General features: G+C 41.9%; 1 protein-coding gene across 5 annotated transcripts in view, besides 1 other annotated feature; it reads left to right on the plus strand.

The window, feature by feature from the left end:
- The window catches only part of ADCY2 (adenylate cyclase 2), a 433,944-nt gene that overhangs the window by 282,665 nt on the left and 128,459 nt on the right, over nt 1-22,820 (plus strand). For all 5 annotated transcript variants that reach the window (NM_020546.3, XM_011513942.3, XM_047416645.1 and 2 more), the window contains exons 5-7: nt 11,889-12,037; nt 16,950-17,061; nt 19,445-19,572. In NM_020546.3, the coding sequence (NP_065433.2) occupies nt 11,889-12,037; nt 16,950-17,061; nt 19,445-19,572 (389 nt within the window). The remainder of the gene's footprint in view (nt 1-11,888; nt 12,038-16,949; nt 17,062-19,444; nt 19,573-22,820) is intronic.
- Nucleotides 4,698-4,884: a silencer, noted in NCBI's record as "fragment chr5:7683613-7683799 (GRCh37/hg19 assembly coordinates)". NCBI's record gives its function as "represses an EF-1alpha promoter that drives an FKBP-Casp9 reporter gene in an ReSE screen in K562 erythroleukemia cells {active_cell/tissue: K562}" and the evidence as "EXISTENCE:reporter gene assay evidence [ECO:0000049][PMID:32094911]".

Raw genomic sequence — 22,820 nt, forward strand, 5'->3', positions numbered from 1 at the left:
TTAAAGAGTGACAGAGCTGAGGCCAGAATGTTCTCCTGGCTTCTGTCATTGAAAAATCAGATTATTTAATGAGTTCCTCAGTGAAATCTTATTCAAAGTGTAATGAGGCATTCGGTCACACAATCATGCATTCACTCCTGTATCCATCCAACAAATGTTTATTGTTTGTCTTCCTATGCCAGGCAATGGCCTCTGTGTTCTGTACTGGGAACAAAATATTGAAGAAGGCACAGTCTGGGCTCACTAACACCTACGCTTGAAGCAAACAGGTGACTTTGGCAGAGTTCAGGAGCCATTAGCAAAGTGAATGTTGACAGCTAACACAGCACACAGCACCTAGCCTAGCTGTGGGTGGGGAGGGCATCCTTAGGGAGGAGGTGGTTGAAAGTTTGTCTGGAGAATTGGTGGGGATAGCCTTAGCAAAGGACTGGGTGGAAATGACGTGATGGAACCAGCCATCCAGGTCCCGGGGGAGCGTGCTCCAGTGCGGGTCTGAGGCTGCAGGGTCAAAGAAAGGAGGAGGAAGAAATAAAGAAGGTGGGATGCCTGGGGTATATCATATCTTGTAATATACTGAAGGGCTTTGGCCTTGTCCAACGTGTTAGAAGACTTCAGAGCTGGAGCTGAGCTTATTTGACTGCTTCCCATTTTAGAAAGACCCCCACTGCAGAAGAGAAGGTGAGGGAAAAGGAGGACAGGAGGAGAGAAGCCAGTTAGGAGGTGATTCTCTAGGTGACAGAGGTTGCTGAGAACTGGGCAGAGCAGTAGGTTGAGGAAGGGGCAGGTTCTGAAGTGTGAATGGCAGGAGCCTGCTTCACTGGATGTGGACTGGTAAGAAGGAAAGAACAGTCAGGTATGAAAGCAGGTTTCTGCATGGGCAGCTGGGCACATGGGCAGATATTGACTACGCTAAGATTATAAACGGAGGGACAGCTTTTGGAGGGAAGGTGACAGTTTCCATTTGCAAACAGCTGCATTTGAGTTCTCTGCATGTGACAGAGACCAATGGATTGTCTCCCAGTACTTGTTCTCTTCTTCTTCCTCTGTTGTAAGATGATCTCTGTGGCTGGGTACGTCTCACCCAGAATAGAGATATGTCACTGCATCCCTTAGTGCTCGGTATAGCCAATGGCATGTGAGAAGTGATGGTGTACATCCTAGTGATGTCCTGGAGAGGTGCCATTCTGGAATGACAGGGGCAAGACAACAGTGAAAGTGATGGGCCACAGAGTCCAAGGTGGAGAGGAACAGAGGTAAATGAAGGGGAAGAGTATAGGGGAAATTAGTTAGGTTAAAAGTCCAGAGGAGAAGTCTTATATTTAGAGGAATGTTTCTCAACCAGAGGGAGACTGTTACCCCCCAGGAAACAGTTGTCAATGTTTGTGAGCAGTCTGGATTGTCATAAAAGGGGTTGGGGGTCTTGCTGACCTCTGGTGGGTAAAGGGTACTAAAGTCTAGTCTATGTCTCAGTCTACTGGACAGATGCTGCTAAATATCCTGCAGTTTGCACGTCAGCCCCCCACAGCAAAGAGCCATGTCGCTCAAAATGCTGATAGCGCTGAGGGTGAGAAACCATGGTTTAGAGTATAGGCAGATGTGGTAAATGTGTGCAGTGAACTTGCAAGTCATTAAGGAATGGCAAGGGCTGTGGTAAGCTGTACAGTGCATGACCTATCTGAAGGGGTTCAAATTCTTTAAACATGTACACATAACTATGCACTCTGCAAGCTAATCAGAGTACATCTGACTGACCAGGCTCAGTCCACAGGCTGCCAGTTGCCTTCCTCTGGACTTAAAGTTTTGGCTAGTCTTAAGAACTTACTCAGATTCAATAAGCGAGTGAGAAAACACACCCAATCAAGATTTCTCAATGCATTACATATATAAAGTAAACTTGAGTTTTCATCCTATGTAACTTGCAAGGAAATGCATTACATGATTGATTTCTTAAATTCTGTAAGCTCTAAGCCATGGTTTATTTTTGTCAGGTAGTGGGACACATGACAGCCTGTTTTTAGCTAATATTTGATGTGATTTCCTCCAAAGACAAAGCTATTGGTGAAGCTTAGAAGGAGGAGTCCCTGAAAGAAAATCTGCATTCTAATTACTAAAATGCATTTTCTAAAGACAAAGAGAAAGCTTAAAAAATACCATGTGCCAGCAACATAGGTACAGAAATAGGATATGTATGTGTAGAAAATTGATAGCCAAGCAAGCTACAGCAGAAGAACACCTTTATTTTTGAGTTTGAGCTGCAGTCATTGAGTTACATTTAATAAAATTCCAGGATCGTGACAGGCTTTCCGCTTTCTGATGTGATGACTTCCCTGCAGTTGCCTTTTGCATCTTTAATCCTTATCTGAAGAAGCTCAGGACATTGTTTCATGAGCAGAGTGAGAATTAGAACAGTTCTGCAGCCTTTCTTTCTTCACTTATTATTCTTTCCTGAAAAGTTGTTATGCAGAAATGATGGGTACATCTCTTGGTATCAACTACATCAGTGCCCACAGGGACAATTAGTGTTTGAAGACAGGCACAATATTTAAAGGCTGTTATCTCCTGGGTTGTATCTTTGGAGGCTTTTCTGTGGGAGCTGGCATGGAGCACTTAATTTATCAGAACAAATATGCAGAGGTGTGGACATCTGCCTCAGTGCGAGAGTGTCCTAGGCTCACCTTCCCAAGCATTCACAGCAGAAAATGTATGTGACCGCTTCAGGATTCAGTCATGTGTTCAAGAGAGAAATGCAGTGCAGTTTTTTCCGGAAATCTCCCCAGTTGACAATATTTTCAAAGGAAGCCTTCTGATATTGGCTACAATTTTGCTCTGGGCACCAACTCTCACCCAGGGGTGCTTCCAGCCTGGATTGGGCTTGGCTTGGTGGGGAGAGATTGGGAGTTTGCCGACAGTGTGGGATACTTGTGGTACTCGCCCCAAGAGCAGTTTTGCTTTGGGGTTCAAATCTCTGACTTCAAAACCATTTAAAAAAAGGGGGGCCATTGTCCCCACTGAAATAAAAGAAAATCAGTCATGCCCTAAGACACTTCACTATGGAACGATTGCTCTCCTGTCCCCAGCTGGAGCTACATTATTTATTCTTGCACCTATTTATGTATTGTCCCTTTTTCCTGGGTAAAGTTTAGCAAACTGCTTAAGAGCAATTAACCACTAACTACTTTCCTCCCACTGGTTCTAATCCCAACTCCTCCACCTCCTTACTTTGGATTGTTTAGCAAGCCATGCAACCTATTTGGTCTCCAATTTCTTCTTCATAGAAATGGGAGAAATAATAATATCTACAACATTAAGTGCTGAGAGAATTAAGCAAGACAATACTTAGAAATTGTTTAGACCTGGAACTGATATATGGGAAGTGGTTGATAAATATTTGTTGAGTGGAAGAAAGAATATTGAATTAAGAGCACACTGTCTGCATGCAAGTAGAGCAGTTCTAAAATCGCCTGGGAATAATAGGAGAGGGTGCATTTCCGTGCAAAAGAAGAGACCCGTTTTTTCAGTCAACAACCTTGAATGCTGCAAACATGAGTTTATAGACCCCCTTTAAGGTGAAAGTTAGCAGAGCTATTTCAGGGTCTGGTCTCCCCTCCCATGGCTTTGCCCCCTTCTGTTGCTCATTCTCACCCCTTCAAGCTTCTCTTATACTCATGATGGTTTTATAAATTCGAGCGTCTAAGCTTGGCAGCACAGCCTACTCCAAAAGAGAACCATGAATGTGGGAGGAGCCTGTCATCCAAGCTCTGTTTCTCTTCAAGACTGAATCTGGGAGGGGCTGATTCTCAAGGATGAAGGGAAGTGAGCCCACAGTTTCAGCATCATCAGGGAGGGAGCTGGAGTCTGTGCCCCTCTGGACAGATCATAGTGTTCCTTTTCTTATGCTTTTCAGAGGAGCCTCATTGCCTCCCTGAGTTTAGGATGGTAATGCTATGCTGCCAGCATTCTTAAGGATGGGAACCGGACTGGCTGATTAATCCCCATTACTTTTGCATCCAATGAGAATTAAAACTTTGGAGAATATAGACAACAATAATTTGCATGTAGGATAACATCTGCCACGAAGTAGAATGAGTGAATTATCATGACTCCAGCTTCTAGTTAGAGAAAATCTTTTAGAGACATGACCTCTGGTTTTTATTTTGGAGGAAGAAATGCACATTAGTACAAAGTTGTCCCTGTACTCGGTGGGATCATTCCTGCTCTGTGTAATTCTGACACCACTGAAACGACCACATTCTCAGCCTTTTTTTCCATGGACTGCAAGGCAGACAAGTGGGGGTTACCAGTGTGGGCTTCAAAGTCATGAGGTCCCTGCCCTGAAGACTCCTCACAGGTGGAATGGCCTTGCCAAGGCTCAACCTCCTCTTACTCTACGTGAGGGAGAAGAATCAGCACTTCACAGAGGGGCTTTCCAGAGCTTTTACCCTGAAGCTGCAGCTTGTGGGCACACCACGTGAGTGAATGAGTGACCTCTCCCCACGTCAGAGCAGCTGAGAAAATCCTAAGCATTCAGGGACGGAGGACATAGGTTGGTGTGCACATACTTGCATGAATTTGCATCTGTCGCAATAGCTAGGGTAAGCGGTGATAAAAATGGCTCCCAAATCAAAGTGGCTGAACAATAGTGGTTTCTCACTTGTATTTGTCCACTGTAGGGGGACTGCCACTTTGCACCATGAATGGGACCCAGGCTCAAAGTCACTATCTGTGACACTGCTGGTCCCAAAGAGGAGGGAAAGGAAAGCATGATGAGGCCCACAGTGGCTCTTAAGGCTTTTGTTAGAAGGAGCACATATCACTGCTGCTTACATGTCACTGGTCCTACCAAGGTACATTGCCTCCCAGGGGGGCATGGGAGGGAGAGTCAACACATTTCAGAACGATAGTCCAGTCCATTGCAAGTGTAGCATGTACATAACTGCATCATGTATCTGTCATCTGTAGCATAGAGTTGCTCTGAGGGGTTGCATTTGAACATAAAAAAATATTCTGTTTTGCTCCTTGGGACCTTTCATCAAATCGATACCAATGTGCTACCACTTTTTCCTTCTTCTTCTTATCTCCTTCTGTCAATGATATTATCAGCATCTCCACTTTGTCCTCCTCCTCAGAAGAAATCCAAAGGCTGGCGCCACCACCTGGCTGGCCTTCTGTACCTTATGTTGAGGGTTTTTGGCCAGTGCCCAGGAGCATGGTCTGTCTTCACCCATTCTCTCCCCAGCGTGCCTCTACTGGCATTGCCCCTGTCAGACTGGATGGCATTGCTTACCTATGCATGGATACTCTTTGAGAGGCAAGTCAAATCAGACTTGGCTCCCCTGTGGAGCATTTTGCTTTTTCACTTTATGGTGTGTGAGTGTGGCGGTCATGTTTGCAGGATGAGATTCCCCTTTGGGTGATTTTCTCACACTGGTGCTGATCTATGCTTGCTCAGGCTTTGCAGGTGCACCAGCCTGCAGGGCTGACTTGGGTGCTGGTGTGCCACAAGGTGCCCTGTGCCTATTCCAGGGAGCACAGCTGCAGCTCTCATCTGATGACCTCCATAGACTCTTATCCAAGGATTGAATATTTTTCCACCTTTTGAGTGATTCTCATTTCCCTAGAGGCTCTATTTTAGAGAATTGAATTGACTGTTGATGATAAACAGTTCCGGTTTAGAAATACCAATTTACTGTCATCAGTGACTGAAGGCATACTTTATAATTTGACTTGATTAGCACTTTCTTCTCTAACTGCTAACTGAAGAGTCATCGCATGTGAGTGATAATTTCATTCTTTCCAGCATCTTTTAACAATGTACTCTCTAAAAATGTTCTGGTCATCTCCTTGAACCTGCAAATCCAGCTGGATGGAAAGAGCTGGCTGTGAAGCTGGAAGACGAGTTCCATCCAGTCTCAACTCGCAGGTGACGACCACCTGGCTTCACTCCCTTGGAGCCACATCTATGTCTGTTGTGCCTTTTTTTTTTTTTTGTCAAAACATGTTTAAATCTAAATGATATTATATGTGACCAGGGTTTGTTAAGTGAGAAAATAAGATATGCATGCAAGGAAAGCACTTGCTGTCTTATAAAAGGGTCACCTGATTTGCTGAAGTGCCTAGTGACTTTAATATGCACAAAACATTCCAGTTTCCTAGGCTGTGAAAGAAGCAGGCTGACTTTCCCTCTGCACACAGATATGAAAACACTGGCCTTTAAAGTCGCTCCTCAGTAATCTCAGCCCTTCTTCATCCTCCTCCCACAAGTCAGAGACACTGCAAGGAACATACGACCCAGACTCAGCCTCCTCCCTGGGTGCTAGTTCTGGATCCCACTTGGAGTCTCCTTGCCCTCAGGCCATCTGGACTTGCAGTCTTCGCCACCGTGTGGGAATTTGATCCCTTGGGTTCTTTCCTCTGCGTGGTGCTAGTGGTTGGGCACTTGGGTGCAGCAGGATGTAGTCATCTCTAGGACGGTGGAAAGTAAGTTCTAGAAAGGGCCTCCCATGGTTCTTTGAAGAGCTGTGCTCTTACATGGACATGGAGGCCTTCAACTCCTTAGCCCAACAGACCTATTGTCCAGATGACCAAGCTGGGCACCAAAGGCTGACCGATTTGGTTGAGGTGGCAGAGAAAGGGTGGAATCCCATCTTCTCCTACTTCAGAGCCATTTCTACTGCGATGCCTTCTATTCTCCATCCCATGTGAATATGATGACCAATTTTTTTTGTAAAAGTCAGAGAAAGATAAAGCAAGATCTTTCAAATAGTAAGAGTAAGAGTTTTAACTGATTGATATGAAGCAAAAATTCTACTGAGGGACCTAAGAAAAAGCTGAATTTTGTAATGGGAAACAGCAACAGTAGCAGTTGTTGGGAGAACAGGGTGATGAAGGCTGAGGCTGGAGGAGGACTGTTATTGTCTGAGACTTGGAGACGTGGAGCCTGCTGCAAAGGAAGATGCGTGATAGGAGCTGGGGGAGGTGCAGCATAGGCAACATTTTGTGTTGATGGACAACTAGCTTTTTAATACTGGAGGACGTTATGAAATGATTTCTGTTTCCTAAGTACATGGGTGAAGGAGCCACAGGTGGCCCAATGGCTGCTTAGGGATCTGGTGTTTGTCCACTCTGTTAGCTACTTTCTTTTAGAAGGAGAAAAACTTACAACATCCTTTCTGTTTATCCCATTGATTTAGCATCCTGATGTAATTGAAATTGCCTTTAAAATAAGAATTACAAAAGAAAAACTTAAAGATTCATATGAAAGGAGTGTTTCATTGTTATCCTCCCGTTTGGAAAGTAAAGGAGCTTTAAGTATCTATTACATGCATGGTTTATTGAAGGAACAGGGTATAGTATGTATTTCTATATCTTAGCTTAAAATTTAAGTACAAGTCTTCTTTGCTTCAATTGGATTTTCCTACCAATTGAAATAGTCTAAAAAAAGACATAAAATGTAGCTACAATGTCTGCCTTGCTTCATTAGTTTAGAAACACTTCAGAGCTCAGATTGTTCTGAACTTTGATCACTAGTACATTGAAATTTACTAAATTAACTCTGTATCTCTTATATCAGACATAATTTAAAAGAACAAGTTCTAAGAAAAATGTATTGCTAATGAATAATAATTGGAGGTTTAACAAAGGGATGTGTTAAATGGAACCCCCAAATCAAGGGCAAGTTATTAATCAGATAACCTTTGAATATGCCAAAATTAGACAGATTCTCAGTAGTTGCATGAGCTTTACTAGAAAGAGAAAGAAGTAATAACCAGTGTGCATCCATCAGTTTAATGACAACTTAATTTTTCAAAAGTATCCTTAAGGAATTTCTCCAACAAACTTGGGAAAATAATGTAGCTAAGTTATACCCAGTATATTAAGCACTTAAGTGTGTGTGTTGCTTTCAGATAATTTGGCAGGGCACACAGCTACATTTGCAAAATGCTAAAATATTAATGGAATTATTAACATTGTCAGATTTTACAAATTGGGCTGAAATTTATCATGGATGCCATAATAGTGGGCTTTTCCTTCAGATCAGAACATTTTAAATTTAAAAGAAGGAGTCTTGCTTCACCACTTTTGAGCTCAGGCTTTTTTTGGAAACTCATTCAATTGCCCAGCACTGTGATCACCTAGAGGGCATATGCACACTCAAAGCATGGACCCTGAGCTGTCACCAGGTGCAGTGCTATCTACCATCCACCAGTGGTGCCAGTGTTGAATGATGGGGGAAGGCTTGAGTTCTTTTATTAGGCTGGGTGGCAGTTACCAACGTCTTCATTTCAGCTTAAATTCACATGGATTCTTTAGCAGTTCCAACAAAAGAAAAAATTCTTGTTTTGTACAACATATGAAGTTTACTTTCTATATTTTTTAAACCACCTATTAAAAGTCAGTCATCCTTCTACATTTGGGTCTAAAATAAAGATTTTAACTTACATTTGGTTGTTAAATGAGGCTCTGAGTGTGGAAAAGGATTACTATATTTGATTCTCTTTTTTTGATCCTAGAATCTGTATCTTTCAGGAAGGACCGGCTCTGTGTGATTTGGGGTTTAGCATAATCTTATTACAGAATATAGGAGGAGGAGAGACAATGCTTGGAAAAGTCTGTTAGGTTTACCACAAGCAGATCCTAAGACAAGGGTCTGGTTACAGTAATTTAGTTGGGAAGTGGTTCTCTTTAGCAGGGTGAGGGCGTGGGACCATGAGGTCCGCTCCCTCCAAAGAGGGAAGTTAGCTCATGAAAGGGGCTGATGGTGGAAGCAGGGCTCAATCTTGCCTGGGACTCTCTGAGCAATGTGCCGACCGATTTCTCACTGAGGGATGTTGTTGCAAAAGCTGGAGTATTTATTCATCAGCTACCTCTTCATTAGCGGACACACAGGAAAGCATACATTCAGGAAGGAACAATCTACAGTGACCCCCAAGCAAGGAAGAAGGGAATATGAGTAGGATATTGACAGCCTCAGCTATAAGAAGCATAGCTAGAAACTCATGTAAACACTGGGAAAGTTGACTGATTGTTTTAAATTCAATGGAAGATGGTATTGAATCCACCTACACACAGGTTATCATCATAAGCTCTGCTAATGGAGAGTTATGTACACTGAGCACCTGTGGCTTGGTGCATTTCATCTTGTCTCAGCCTTTGACTCATCACCCATCAGAAAGAGTACAAAATGGGTTTTAATCTAATCAAGCCAATCTTAAGACATCTCTGTAGATGAACAGATGCTACTGGGATTTCCAAATAGATAGCCTAGATCCAGACCCGTAATTATTTATAGTCTACCTGTTAATATTCCTTATCACTGCTTTAGAAGTTAACATTTGTTTTCAACATGTACTTGCTTTGATTATGACAGATTCAATGGGAAACCTCAAAGCCACATGCCTCCCTTCTCCCATCAGGGACTCCTCTGTTCATGTCTGAGGATATGACCAGAGAGATCTCCTGATTTTTTTTGTTGTTTTTTTTTTTGAGACAGAGTCTCACTCTGTTGCCCAGGCTGGAATGCAGTAGCACAGTCTCGGCTCACTGCAACCTCTGCCTCCCAGATTCAAGTGATTCTCCTGCCTCAGCCTCCCAAGTAGCTGGGACTACAGGTGCCTGCCACCATGCCCAGCTAATTTTTTTTATTTTTAGTAGAGATGGGGTTTCACCATGTTGGCCAGGCTGGTCTCAAACTCCCGACCTCAGGTGATCTGCCCGCATCAGCCTCCCAAAGTGCTGGGACTACAGGTATCAGCTACCGTGCCTGACCAGGTCTTTGATGTTTGTGGATGGAAATTTCACACTTTCCTCACCAGCTTTCCTCTATTGGTATGAATAGACTTTGGATATTACATACTTTGTATGTAATATTTTGGCCTCACACCCAATTATTCCATCTATTAATCAATAAACAGAAAGAATAGGAAGTGACCACCCACAGGGTGCCTCACTGTAGTGTACGCTCAGGACCTGCAGAAATGGAATTCAGTGGAGGCAGTACTAGCAGAACTCAATCCCTAAACTTACAGGGCAACTTCTATCTGCTAAACACTTCCATGGGCACATCACGAGTTTGATTACCTTTAGAGTTTCCCAAAGGTCTAACCATTTCATGAGTCACAGAGGCCAAAGCATAGAGAAATTGAAGACAAGTGGCAAGTTTATGCGTTTTGGGGATTAGTAGCCAAATGTGGGTAGATGATGGAGTAGTTCTTTATATAAAGATGATGAAAGCTAGCAATAGAAGCACATTAACTTAGAACAAACCCCCTGGTTTTTTCAAGTGGGTTCTGAGACGAGAGCGGGATCAGGCCATGCCCTTTCAAAAGCGCTAATGGTAAATCAAAGAAGAATGCGACAGGGTCTCTGGTATCATATCATTCATAACCAAGACTTCAACACACAGTGCACTTGCTGTCAGACGAGACTAGATGGACAGGCTGGTGTTTGGAGGAAGCTTAATGCCTGACTCTTGGGAAACAAAAGGGCAACTGAAGCAGAGCAGTCTCTGCAGCCTTCTTTAATTTACCATTAGTGCTTTTCAAAGGGCATGGCATTTATTGCTCAAAGATTGATACTTTCTGAATAAATGAATAAGCGAATGAATGAATGAACAAATGATCAATGCTCAGTTATGCCAGTACATGGAGAAACTAGCTTCTATACACTGAGCTTCCCCTATGAGCACATACTGTGTTTTCTGTTGCCTTTGCCCTTGTCTTTCCATGGAGGGATGAGCGGGGAGAAAGGATCATCAGAATGTACTCCTAACCCACCCTCAGCTCTCTCAGCAGAAGTTTCCAACAGCCACCAAAGCGATGTGCACTAGGAGTAGACAAAGAGATAGACACCTGACCCTGTGAACCTGGAAGCAAATCCGAGCTTCCCCTCCTCCCCTAATCCCTCATCAGCTTGCCAAAAAAAGAAAAAGAGAAAGACAGACAATGTGATAGATAAAGATGTGATAGATAAAGTGTTTCATTGAACAAATATTTGTTTATCAACATTGAATATCAGTTGCTAAACTCTACAATAGCTAAAGAATATGATGCTTTCTAAAATGGATTAACATTAAAATTCTCCAGGATGGATATATGTCCTGAAGATTACCCTTCTGTTAGACTTTTCCTCCAAAAACTATTGTGTATTTTCATTGAGGAGAATGAGAAAATGCCACTCTAACTAGAATAAGTTTATGTTAAAATGAGTACAATATTGTTTACTAATATTTATTGTTTCCTGGACTTACTGAATATAAAGACCAAAAGTACTCAAAAAGCTCATATGTTATCATTTCCTTGTGTTCCACCTGTAGTTTCTTATGGATGACATTTTACAGAAGCTAACATTTCTGACTCCATTTTTATAATAGCTTAGAATTTCTAAAGAGGATTAGGTGCTTATAGAGGAAACGAAATCTTTGGAAGTATATATCTTATTTAAGAAATGTGGAATAGGTGGAATATCAGCTGTCTTTCTTAAGTGCAATAAAGCTAGTATTTTAGCTCAGAAATGAACATGCAGGCAAAAATGAGTGTTCTCTATCTTAGACTGACCAGTGATTTCTGAAATTTTAATATTGTTTCTGCTTTGCTACTTTAAAATCAAAATAGATTTAAAAATCTTTGGGGAAATAACTTTGCATCCCTTTATTCTTCATACTGAAGAACACACACTTAGAATGCAATAAATAATAAATAATATAATGATACAGTCCGACCTTAGAAAATCTCTTTTTATTCCCAATATATATTTCTAGAATCTGTATTTTAGCTTCCAGGAAAGAATTCCCAAACTGGCCTTCCTACAAATCAGTGAGGATCTCCAATGTTATTTGGTCATCCCCCGAGGTGTCTGAGAGACATTTGTTCCTCCTTCCCCACCTTGTCCAGGAGCGGCTTCTGCTCTCCCTGCTGCCGGCCCACATCGCCATGGAGATGAAAGCGGAGATCATCCAGAGGCTGCAGGGCCCCAAGGCGGGCCAGATGGAGAACACAAATAACTTCCACAACCTGTATGTGAAGCGGCATACAAACGTGAGGTACGACGCTATGCTTGCTCCTTGGCTGGTCTGGGAGTCTGCCTGACTGGAGACATTTTGCCTGGGATCTCACACCTCATATCACCATCTCTCCTTTGTGACAGTGGATCCTTTGCAGGGGAAATAATCACACAGATTCTGCCATCCCACTCACCTGTTCCTGCCTCTCAGGGCCTTCACATTAAGATGAGAAAATAGGATGCTGTTTGCTGTGTTGGATTGAGTTGTCCTTCATAGCCCTGGCTTCTGTAGCCAAGCATCCATCACAGAAAGGAGTGAAGGGGACAGCGGGGTCTTCATTCTGGAAACCCCGTGGTCAGATTGCAGTAAGATTGGAGGGAGAGTCTGTGGGATCTCCAGGCACAAGACTGAGTCCTCCAAATAGACTTTGCAGGAGCAGGGCCTCTGTGAAGACAACACATCCCAGGGAAGCTGGGTGTTCCTCTCTCCATCAGCACGATGAGTTTCTCAGGTCTGGAAGACCAGTGACCAAAGTCACAGAACACTGATGTGCACCTTAGCTAATTTACCGTGAAAGTTACTGCTTTTCTGAGACTGGTATACTCATATCTACTTCCCAGGAGTCGTTCTGGGAATTACAGTGCCTAGAAAACTAACATGTTATCATCATGGGATTATAGTAGGGAAAGAGATTGGTGTGGGGCTTCTGTCTCCCATGAGCTCTAGAGAGAAATTATGAGGAGGCCTCACTTCAGGCTGGAGAGGATTGTCCCTCCCATTTCTCTCCTGCCCCTGTCTCCGAGCCACAGCAGAGCGAGGCCCACCCAGACCGTCTCGATTTCTGTGCCCCTCCCATTCCCAGTACCACGTCTTTTGGGGGTTTGTTCTTTCATCCACTCAGTATGTTAATACACTGCTTTGCATTCTAGCTGGGTGTAGTTGTCCATTCTTGCACTGCTATAAAAAACTAACTGAGACTGGGTAATTTATAAAGAAAAGAGGTTTAATTGACTCACAGTTCTGCAGGCCTTACAGGAAGCATGACTGGGGAGGCCTCAGGAAACTTATAATCACGGCAGAAGGTGAAGGGGAAGCAGGCACGTTTTACATGTCCAGAGAAGGAGAAAGAGAGGGAAGGGGAAGGTGTCACACACTTTTAAACAGACCTTGTGAGAGCTCACTCACTATCACAAGAACAGCAAGGGAGAAATCTACCCCTCTGGCCCAATCGCCTCCCAGGCCCCTCCTCCAACACTGGGGATTACAATTCGACATGAGATTTGGGTGGGGACACAAATCCAAACCATATCACTGAGTTATCGCCATAAGTAACCTGTGCATGAATCTGACCTCATCTGTTATGTTTTGATGGTCTTCGTTTAGTCATTAGAGTTTTTAGAAGAGCCAGGCTGCTTCAGGTCTAGGTTTTTTGAAGCTTATTAAAGAGAAACAAATTTAACCGTTACTTAAAGACATTGCTGGGACAAATCTCATTTGACACCAGATTTTAGATTAGCTATATAATACCCAAGCATACACAGATGTCAGTGTGATATAGGAAACTCATATCAGGAAGGAGGTAACAGAAACACATTTGTGTATGAATGGCAACTAAGGAAGCACGACTGGATGGATACATGATAGTAAAAACTAAATACATTTAAAGAAAGTTCACACATGTTAAGGAGTAAAATTATTTAAAATACTGGCTTGCCTTCAGGTTTGTGAGAGTTTTGCCTATACAATTATAGAAGAAACATTTACTTATCTAAGTGTATTATGCTATTAATGGCTCTTTCTAGCCTTAAATGTCTGAAATTCAGCAATGCCCCTCCCATCTTGGGAAATATTTTTAAGTCACTTTTTGACCACTCACGTGTACCTGACCCCTTGGCCTTGTCCTCCCACTTAAAGAATTTTCCCATCCCTTTGTCTCATGACATTGCATTCCCTCAGTTTTCTTCTGACAATCTGTTTTGTTCTTTTCTTTTCCATAAATCAAGTCTCTCCCGTAAATGAGAGTATGTTGGGGGCTCTCTCTTACCTCCTCTCGGTTTCTCTCCAGTCGTCTTCTGGGACTTTAATTCCCACCTAAATGATGCTCATACACAGGCCTCAACCATAGCTTTCCATACTCATCTACTTAACATGCATCTAAGACACCACCATCAAGCACAGCACAACCAAAGTTGGACTACTCCTCTTCCTCTACACACTTGTTTTGATTTGCACAAACCTTGATTTCTGAACTCTGTTGCTCAGCCAGAAACAGGATCTTCATTTTCAATGCTTCCCTCTCCCACACAATGCCCCCCACAACATCAAATTAGTGACAAATCTAGTTCATTCTTCTTCCTATCTCCCATGTCTGTCCACTTCTATTTCAGCACATTGTAAACCTTCAGTTGGGCTCTCCAGGGTTCCAAGGATATAGTTCTAACTGACCTGCCTGCGTCCAGGTTGCCACAGCAGGAGTGATCTTTCTAAAGTGGCAATATGGTCAGGCTCTAGGTGGGGTTTTCTCCCTCTATGGTCCCATAAGTGCACTGTACTTTCTCTACCGTAATGCTTTGCAGCTTTGTACCTTGCATCACAATTGCCTGCTGTTTTTTGTTTTTTTTTTTTTTTTTTTTTTTGAGACGGAGTCTCACTCTGTCACCCAGGCTGGAGTGCAATGGTGCAATCTCGGCTCACTGCAACCTCCGCCTGCCGGGTTCAAGCAATTCTCCTGCCTCAGCCTTACAAGTAGCTGGGATTACAGGCACCTGCCACTGTGCCCAGTTAAGTTTTTTTGTAATTTTTAGTAGAGATGGGGGTTCGCCATGTTGGCCAGGCTGGTTTCGAACTCCTGGCCTCAGGTGATCCACCCGCCTTGGCCTCCCAAAGTGCTGGGATTACAGGCGTGAGCCACCACGCCCGGCCATCTGCTTACTTTTTAAATCCCTTTGCTGTAACATAACCTCTGGACCAGCTTAAGCTATCTACAGGCAGCCTATCTCAGAGCTGCTTTGTTCACTGTAAGCTTTGAGCACAAGAAGCACTGTGGATGACGTGAGCAAGAAGGAAGTGGAGTCAACTGCCCATCCACACATGCTACCTCCCAATACTGCTTTGAATCAGGGACTCTTTCTCTGAGCGAGCATCGTTCATCCTTCCTCTTGCACAATGGCTCAGCACCTGTGATCCCTGCCACTATAAGTCAGCGTGGAAGAAAAGAAGTAGGGATGATTTCTAGGGGATCATCTGAACAGAGTGGAGGGTAAAGCTGTCCCAGGAACCCTGATTTTCCTGTAACCATCAGAGGATTCCCACAGATCGTGTCCCTCAGCAGAGGAGCAAGTATTTCCTCAAAGGTGCAGCCACACATCCTGGGCTTAGCAGAAGGAGCAGAGTATGGCCAACAGCAGAGTCCTGCCCTGCTCTGGCTGAGACCCTGCTGACTGGTGCCCCTTTTTGTACTTTTTTTTACTGTTGTAAAATATGCATAACATAACATTTACAATTGCAATCAATTTTAAGTGCACAGTTCAGTTGGATCACGGACACTTACATTGTTCTACAACCATCAATATTATCCATCTCCAGAACTTTTTCTTCATCCCAAACTAAAGCTCCGAACCCATTAAACAACAACTCCACAACTCCCCCTCCCCCAAGTCCCAGGAAACCGCCATTCTAGTTTCTGTCCCTATGGTTTGACTATACTGTGTGCCTCATATATGTAGAATCATACAGTATTTGCTCTTTGTACCTGGCTTATTTTACTTAGCATAAGGTTTTCGGGAGTTTCAGCACATGTCAGAATTTCATTTCTTTTAAAGGCTGCCTGATATTCCATTGTATGGATAGACCACATTTTGTTTATTCATCCATCTGTCAATGGACATTCGGTTTGCTTCCATCTTTTGGCTGTTGTGAATACTACAGCTATGAACATTCATGTACAAATATCTATTCAAGTTCCTGATTTCAGATCTTTGGATATATACCCAGAAGTTGCACTGCTGAATCATATGGTATTTTGTTTAATTTTTTTGAGGACCGAACATATTGTTTTTCAGAGTGGCTGCATCATTTTACCTTCCCACCAGCAACACATGTGTACCCCTCCAGGTTCTCATCCACAACCATTATTTGTATGCTTTATAAGAGCCATCCTAATGACTGTGAAATAGTAGTTGTTTTGTTCCATGGGACATCTTAAGGCATACATATTCACTTTGTGAATCTCAAACCATCTGCAGAAATTTAGGCTTCTTCATAAGACCTTGATACAAATCAGAAACATGTTATTGTGTAGGAAAAGTTGCAGTGCGCACACAGGTGCTGTGTTTTCCTATTTTAAACACATAAAAAGCTCTGAGGAATCTCACACTCGCCTTCCCTAGTGTGTACATCCCATGAAGGGAGCTGCTCTGTCATTTCCGAAGAGTGACCTTCCTGGCCTCCTCACTGTCCAATCTGCCCCTACTCTTCTCTGTCATAACACTGTCTCGTTTTCCTCTGTAGCCCTTTTTATGATTTGTAACTGGACATTTGTTGATGTTCACATTTGTTCAATACATCCTCCCAGCTAAATTCTGAACGTCAGGAAGATATTCCATGTCTGCTTCATCCTGGCAGATAGGAAGGACTCCAGAATCATTTAAGTAATCTTTTATAAAAAGAGGATTATTTTTCCAGTTTCTTCTTTGACTCAGTACAAACAGAATTTTTTTAAATTATTTTGCTGCTTCACTCCCCATCTTAACTACAAAAGTTTAACCTCAAAAAATGTTTAACAAGTTCAAAAAAATGTTTATATATTCTTAATCTGAGAAAATGACCTCTTACTCATGAAAATATAAAGTATAAGCAAAATTACATGATTTTAATGGAAAAATTATTATTACTTTCTTAAAAAATGTATAAACTGGAAAACTCTGTCTCCTCACCTCCTTTCTTCCCACAGCATCTTATACGCTGACATCGTTGGCTTTACCCGGCTGGCAAGTGACTGCTCCCCGGGAGAACTAGTCCACATGCTGAATGAGCTCTTTGGAAAGTTTGATCAAATTGCAAAGGTGAGTATTATGGATTCTTTTCTTCTCTGAAGATTTCTAAACTCTTGGTTTCGTTTTTCTTCATCCACCTATCAATAGTTTACTTTTTCATAAAAGCATCCTTTAGGAACATTGTTTGTAGAAGTTGTTGGATTTCTTTGCTATTGATCTTTCATAAGCCTCAAACCTGTCTCAGGGATGAAAAAACGCCATGGCATATCATTATCACGTTTTTATCTATTTTAAAACTTCCCCCTATGTATAATTCAGCACACATATAATAAATACATTCCAGGCAGTGAGATTCCATTTGCAAATCTCTCTGCATGGTATTATTTTAAGGTGCTCTTTTAGGCATTTCCATGTCAAGGATCTGGTAGGATCATTTCCACTCCTCTAGTTGCCAACATCCTCTATTCCTATTGTTAAGCAGGACCCTGGAAGAGTTCCTGAAATAGAATGCATATCTTCCATGCAAAGCCTTCACTTACTCTTGTCTCATTTTAATCCTTTGATTCTTGTGCCACTTAAACAGAAATGGAAGTTTAGTGTCTTCCATTCATATGCTCTTTCATGGGAAATTTCACAGATAGGAAATGACCTGAAACCGTCTGAAACCACACTAGACCCTATTATTTATTAGAACTGCCACAGTTGCTGGTGGGTGGCAATATCGATGACAAAAAGTTTCTTCCTGCAAGCCCTGTACTTCTCATTAAATGTTTCTGGTCAATTCTCTCTTTGAATTGTTCCCAGCAACAACAAAAATGCTTCATTATGCCTACTAATATCAGTTATTTAGCTATGGAAGAATAGGTCCTAAATTTAGTTCACTGTGTGATTTAGATCACTTTTAAACAAGACAGAACATTCCAGCTGAGTCTCTTAGGAATAAATCTGGCTTGCAGATGTTAGCATGATCATTCTTGGGCCAAACTCCCCAAGGTTTTTGCCTTCTGTAGTTCCACCGACCATGACAACTCTCACTGGAGATTGTAAAAAATCAGTAAAAGCACAGCTCTGCTTCCTTCCTTTACCAAGCCAAAGGAAGGGGGTGAGTTTTGTGGGTGTTCATTTATAAGAAAAGAAAGGTTTGAAACTTAAATGATGCCTTAAAAGTTTGAATTAATAAAAGGTCATTTTTGTTGGACTACCTGTTCATGTTAGGAAGAAACGTTTCAGTCTTGGCTGGGAACAGCATAACTCCAATGTTCAGATGACATTCTCTCCTCTACGTGCCTGTCTCGGTGAACAAATTTCCCCTTCTTAGAGGTTAAGGGCCCACCCAATTCCAGTTCTACCTCCTCTTAACTAATTAAATCTGCAGGAGCGCTATTGCCAAATAGGTTCACATTCACAGGTATCAGGACTGACTTTAATATGTGAATTTGGAAGGACACAATTCATTACCCATAACAGAAGTACTCAACGTGACTTCCTCTAATCAGTGGAACAAAGGAGTATACACCCTCGGCTGACTATCCAGCCATTGGTTTATCCATCATTGGTCAGAGGGGCAGTGTGCCTTCGATATGAGTTCATGGCTCACAGTTCAATAACGGGGGGTTATTGTCAGCAAACAGATACCCCAGTGCACTGAGTACTATGTAAAGCACATAACCTTACACTAAGGAACTCAAAACCATTGCCATTCACTGTAACTGTCATGTTTTCTAGTCTCAGAATAGCTGTTTGGGAAGTATGGGAGGGAAGCTTGATTTATAGAAACAAATATAGGATCAACAAGTATGAATGCAGTTAATCTAAATATTAAAATATAAATACAAAATTTAGCCCAGAAAAATAATGAGGTAGTCAAATTTTACATTAAAACAGTTGAGCCTAAGATGAGAATTAAGTTTTAAATTACTTGGCAGTATTGAATGGCAGCTTATTAGGTGTGGTAATGTCTATCAGAAGTGACATATCTGCAGGTAAGAATCAGCTTTGGATTTAAAATAAATAAAAGAAACCATAAGCACAGTAGGGAAGGACTTGAGATTCTAATTTATACTGAGTGCTGGTCATCATTTTCTACTCTGAAAGACTCAGCTGGGCATAGAATGTTTTATTTCACCCTTAATGTTTGGAGCTGCTCAGACTAAAGAGATTGGCCCCATCACCATCCTTCTCTGCTTCTATGAAGTGTAAATCATTCCAGAACATTCTCCCTTCTTTCTCATTTTTTCCCCTTTTCTTTCTTTATTCCTCTTTGGAAATCGGCATGTAGGGGAGGGCAGCTCATTCTGGTTGAGTAATGAAGGGAAGCCCAACTGGTTCTCATTGCTCTCTCCAGATGCCCCTGGAATGGTGTGAGCAGAGCTGGCGCTTGATGATATTACATGAATCTAGATCATTCTGCAAGTGCTTAATGCAACTGAAATTCTGTAATTTATTCTTCCAGGAGAATGAATGCATGAGAATTAAAATTTTAGGAGACTGCTACTACTGTGTATCTGGACTCCCTATATCTCTCCCTAACCATGCCAAGAACTGTGTGAAAATGGGGCTGGACATGTGTGAAGCCATAAAGTAAGTGGACTGCTTAGTAAGCATTTTGTTATATGCTTTAAGTTCTGGGGTACATGTGCACAACGTGCAGGTTTGTTACATAGGTATACATGTACTGTGTTGGTTTCCTGCACCCATCAACTCATCATTTACATTAGGTATTTCTACTAATGCTATCCCTCCCCTCACCCCCTCCCCAACAGGCCCTGGTATGTGATGTTCCCCTCCCTGTGTCCATGTGTTCTCATTGTTCAACTCCCACTTATGAGTGAGAACATGCGGTATTTGGTTTTCTGTTCCTCTGTTAGTTTGCTGAGAATGATGGTTTCCAGTTTCATCCGTGTCCCTGCCAAGGGCATGAACTCATCGTTTTTTATGGCTGCATAGTATTCCATGGTGTATATGTGCCACATTTTCTTAATCCAGTCTATCGTTGGTGGACTTTTGGGTTGGTTCCAAGACTTTGCTATTGTGAACAGTCCTGCAATAAACATACGTGTGCATGTGTCTTTATAGTAGAATGATTTATAATCCTTTGGGTATATACCCAGTAATGGGACTGCTGGGTCAAATGGTATTTCTAGTTCTAGATCCTTGAGGAATCACCACACTGTCTGTCACAACGGTTGAACTAATTTACACTCCCACCAACAGCGTAAAAGCGCTCCTATTTCTCCACATCCTCTCCAGCATCTGTTGTTTCCTGAGTCAGGAAACAACAGTAAGCATTTTTTTTTTTTTTTTTTTTTTTTTTTTTTTTTTGAGACGGAGTCTCGCTCTGTCGCCCAGGCTGGAGTGCAGTGGCGGGATCTCGGCTCACTGCAAGCTCCGCCTCCCGGGTTCACGCCATTCTCCTGCCTCAGCCTCCCAAGTAGCTGGGACTACAGGCGCCCGCCACTACGCCCGGCTAATTTTTTGTATTTTTAGTAGAGACGGGGTTTCACCGTTTTAGCCGGGATGGTCTCGATCTCCTGATCTCGTGATCCGCCCGCCTCGGCCTCCCAAAGTGCTGGGATTACAGGCGTGAGCCACCGCGCCCGGCCAGTAAGCATTTTTTTTAACTGTCTAACAATTTGGGGTTGTAAATCTCACCTGTGACTATTTCTATTGTTCTGCCTACTGGCATTAAATACATTATTGTGCATTTCAATATAATTGTGCAGAAACCCATTTATTGGGATGTGAGTAATGCAATGGAAAGTAAGACTTCATTAAGTGTTTAGTATTATTTTTGTTTGTTTGTTTGCTTTTGAGATAAGGTCATGGTCTGTCACCCAGGCTGGAGTGCAGTGACAAGATCACAGCTCACTATGGCCTCTACCTCCTGAGCCCAGAGTAATCTGCCCACCTCAGCTTCCCAAGTAGCTGGGACCACAGGCAAGCACCACCACATCCAGCTAATTTTTGTATTTTTTGTAGAGACGGGGTGTCTCTGTGTTGCCTAGGCTGGTCTTGAGCTCCTAGGCTCAAGCGATCTGCTTGCCTTGGCCTCCCAAACTGTTGACATGGTAGGTATGCACTGCCTGACCCAGCCTAGTATTGTTACTATGAGCCTTAGACTACAGTGAAACTGAGTTGGAAATCTATAGGAAGGCACGGTTTTGTTTGTTTCAAAGGTGATTTTTAAAAGAAATTTTGAACATCTTCTTTGATCTTAAGGTAAAAGTGTGCACGTTATCATCTTTCCAATTTCTGACAAATTCTGTGGCTTCACACACATTGTAAGGGAAGAGGTAGTTATTACAACCAGACTGCAGTTAATATAAAAACCAATACAAAAATATTTTCATCGAGTCAAAAATGCTCAGCTCTGTGAATTTAATTTTAATTTGTATTTGTAACATATATTTTCTGCATTGTATCTGTAATTTTTTTCACTGTGATTCCAGAGAAGATTTGCTTATATAGGATAGTGATATCATTACCATTGACTAGCTACAAAGTAAAAATATAAGGTAAAAGGGTAATTTTTATTACCAGCATCACAATTTTATTAGCAGTACCTTCTTTAATAATGCCCTTTGTAGAAGCCAGAATATTCTTATAAATAATAAAGCCTTTTGTTTGCTGACTGCATGATTGGAATATTGTACTTCATTGGGTTTTTGATTGTCCATTTTGGTAAATGATTTGACCTTATCCTCAACTTTTTTTTTTTTTTAATCTGAACAGCGTTGGAATTGTGAGCTTAATGTTCTCATTCCTTGTCTCAGGATTAAAGTAGAAAGGGCTTTATGTGAGAATACATCAAGTCCTGTTGTCACTGTGTTGGTCATATGCTGAAGCGACTAAAATATTAACAGGTGACTTCCCCAGCATGGTCCTGGGAAGATTAATGCCCCCACCCCCCACCCCCTCGCACCCACCACACACACACACACACACACACACACACACACACACAGCCTCAGCCAATGAAATGGAGAGACCCGCATGTTCCATATTCACTAGCTCCATAGAAAACTCCTGCATGCTTTTGTCAGACAGATCAGAAATGGGAGGGAAATGAAGTCAATGAGAGAGTTGAGATGGAAAGAGTGGTTAGTGTGAACTCAGTTTCCTACACAAAATGCATAGTGTGAGAAATAGCCATAATTGCTTCTTCCCATAAGTAAATCATATGTACTCTCTGATACATGAAAAATAGTTTTTAGCTTTTTTTCAAAAGTAAGTAACTACTTTTAATTCTATGGATCTAGGTATAAGTGAATCCAATCAGTGGAACTATTGGATTGAAAAAAATATATTTTTTTTTTCAAATTTGTAACCTGCTGCTGGTGAAAACCTCAATGTTGGTTTCAAACATAAGGTGAAATGAGTACTATTGGAGGGAGGTATTTGTTTTATTTCCTTTTCAATTAGTTGTGGAAAAGAGTCTTAGGAAGGGCAAAATTATGTGCATCAATAACACATTGGATTAAAGAATCCACCCATTTACTAAAGCCTTGTTTCTGCTTTTGAATGAACTGTTTCCAGTTCCATAATGTTTAAGTTAATCCAATGTCTTGAAGATGTTTTCGGAGAAAGAATCCTTACATTACATGCACTGGCATGTCACCAGTTCATTAGAAATACTATTACATTTTTTACTGTGATAAAATATGTATACCCTAAATGTTACCCTTTGAATCATTTTTATGTGTATATAAAAATGTACAGTGATACATAAAAATGTACAGTTATGTGCAGTGATGTTGAGTAAATTCAAAATGTTGTGTAACCATCGCCACTGTCAACTTCCAGAACCTTTTCATCACCCCAGACAGAAA

This window comes from Homo sapiens, chromosome 5 (assembly GCF_000001405.40).
Source record: "Homo sapiens chromosome 5, GRCh38.p14 Primary Assembly".
NCBI lineage: Eukaryota > Metazoa > Chordata > Mammalia > Primates > Hominidae > Homo > Homo sapiens.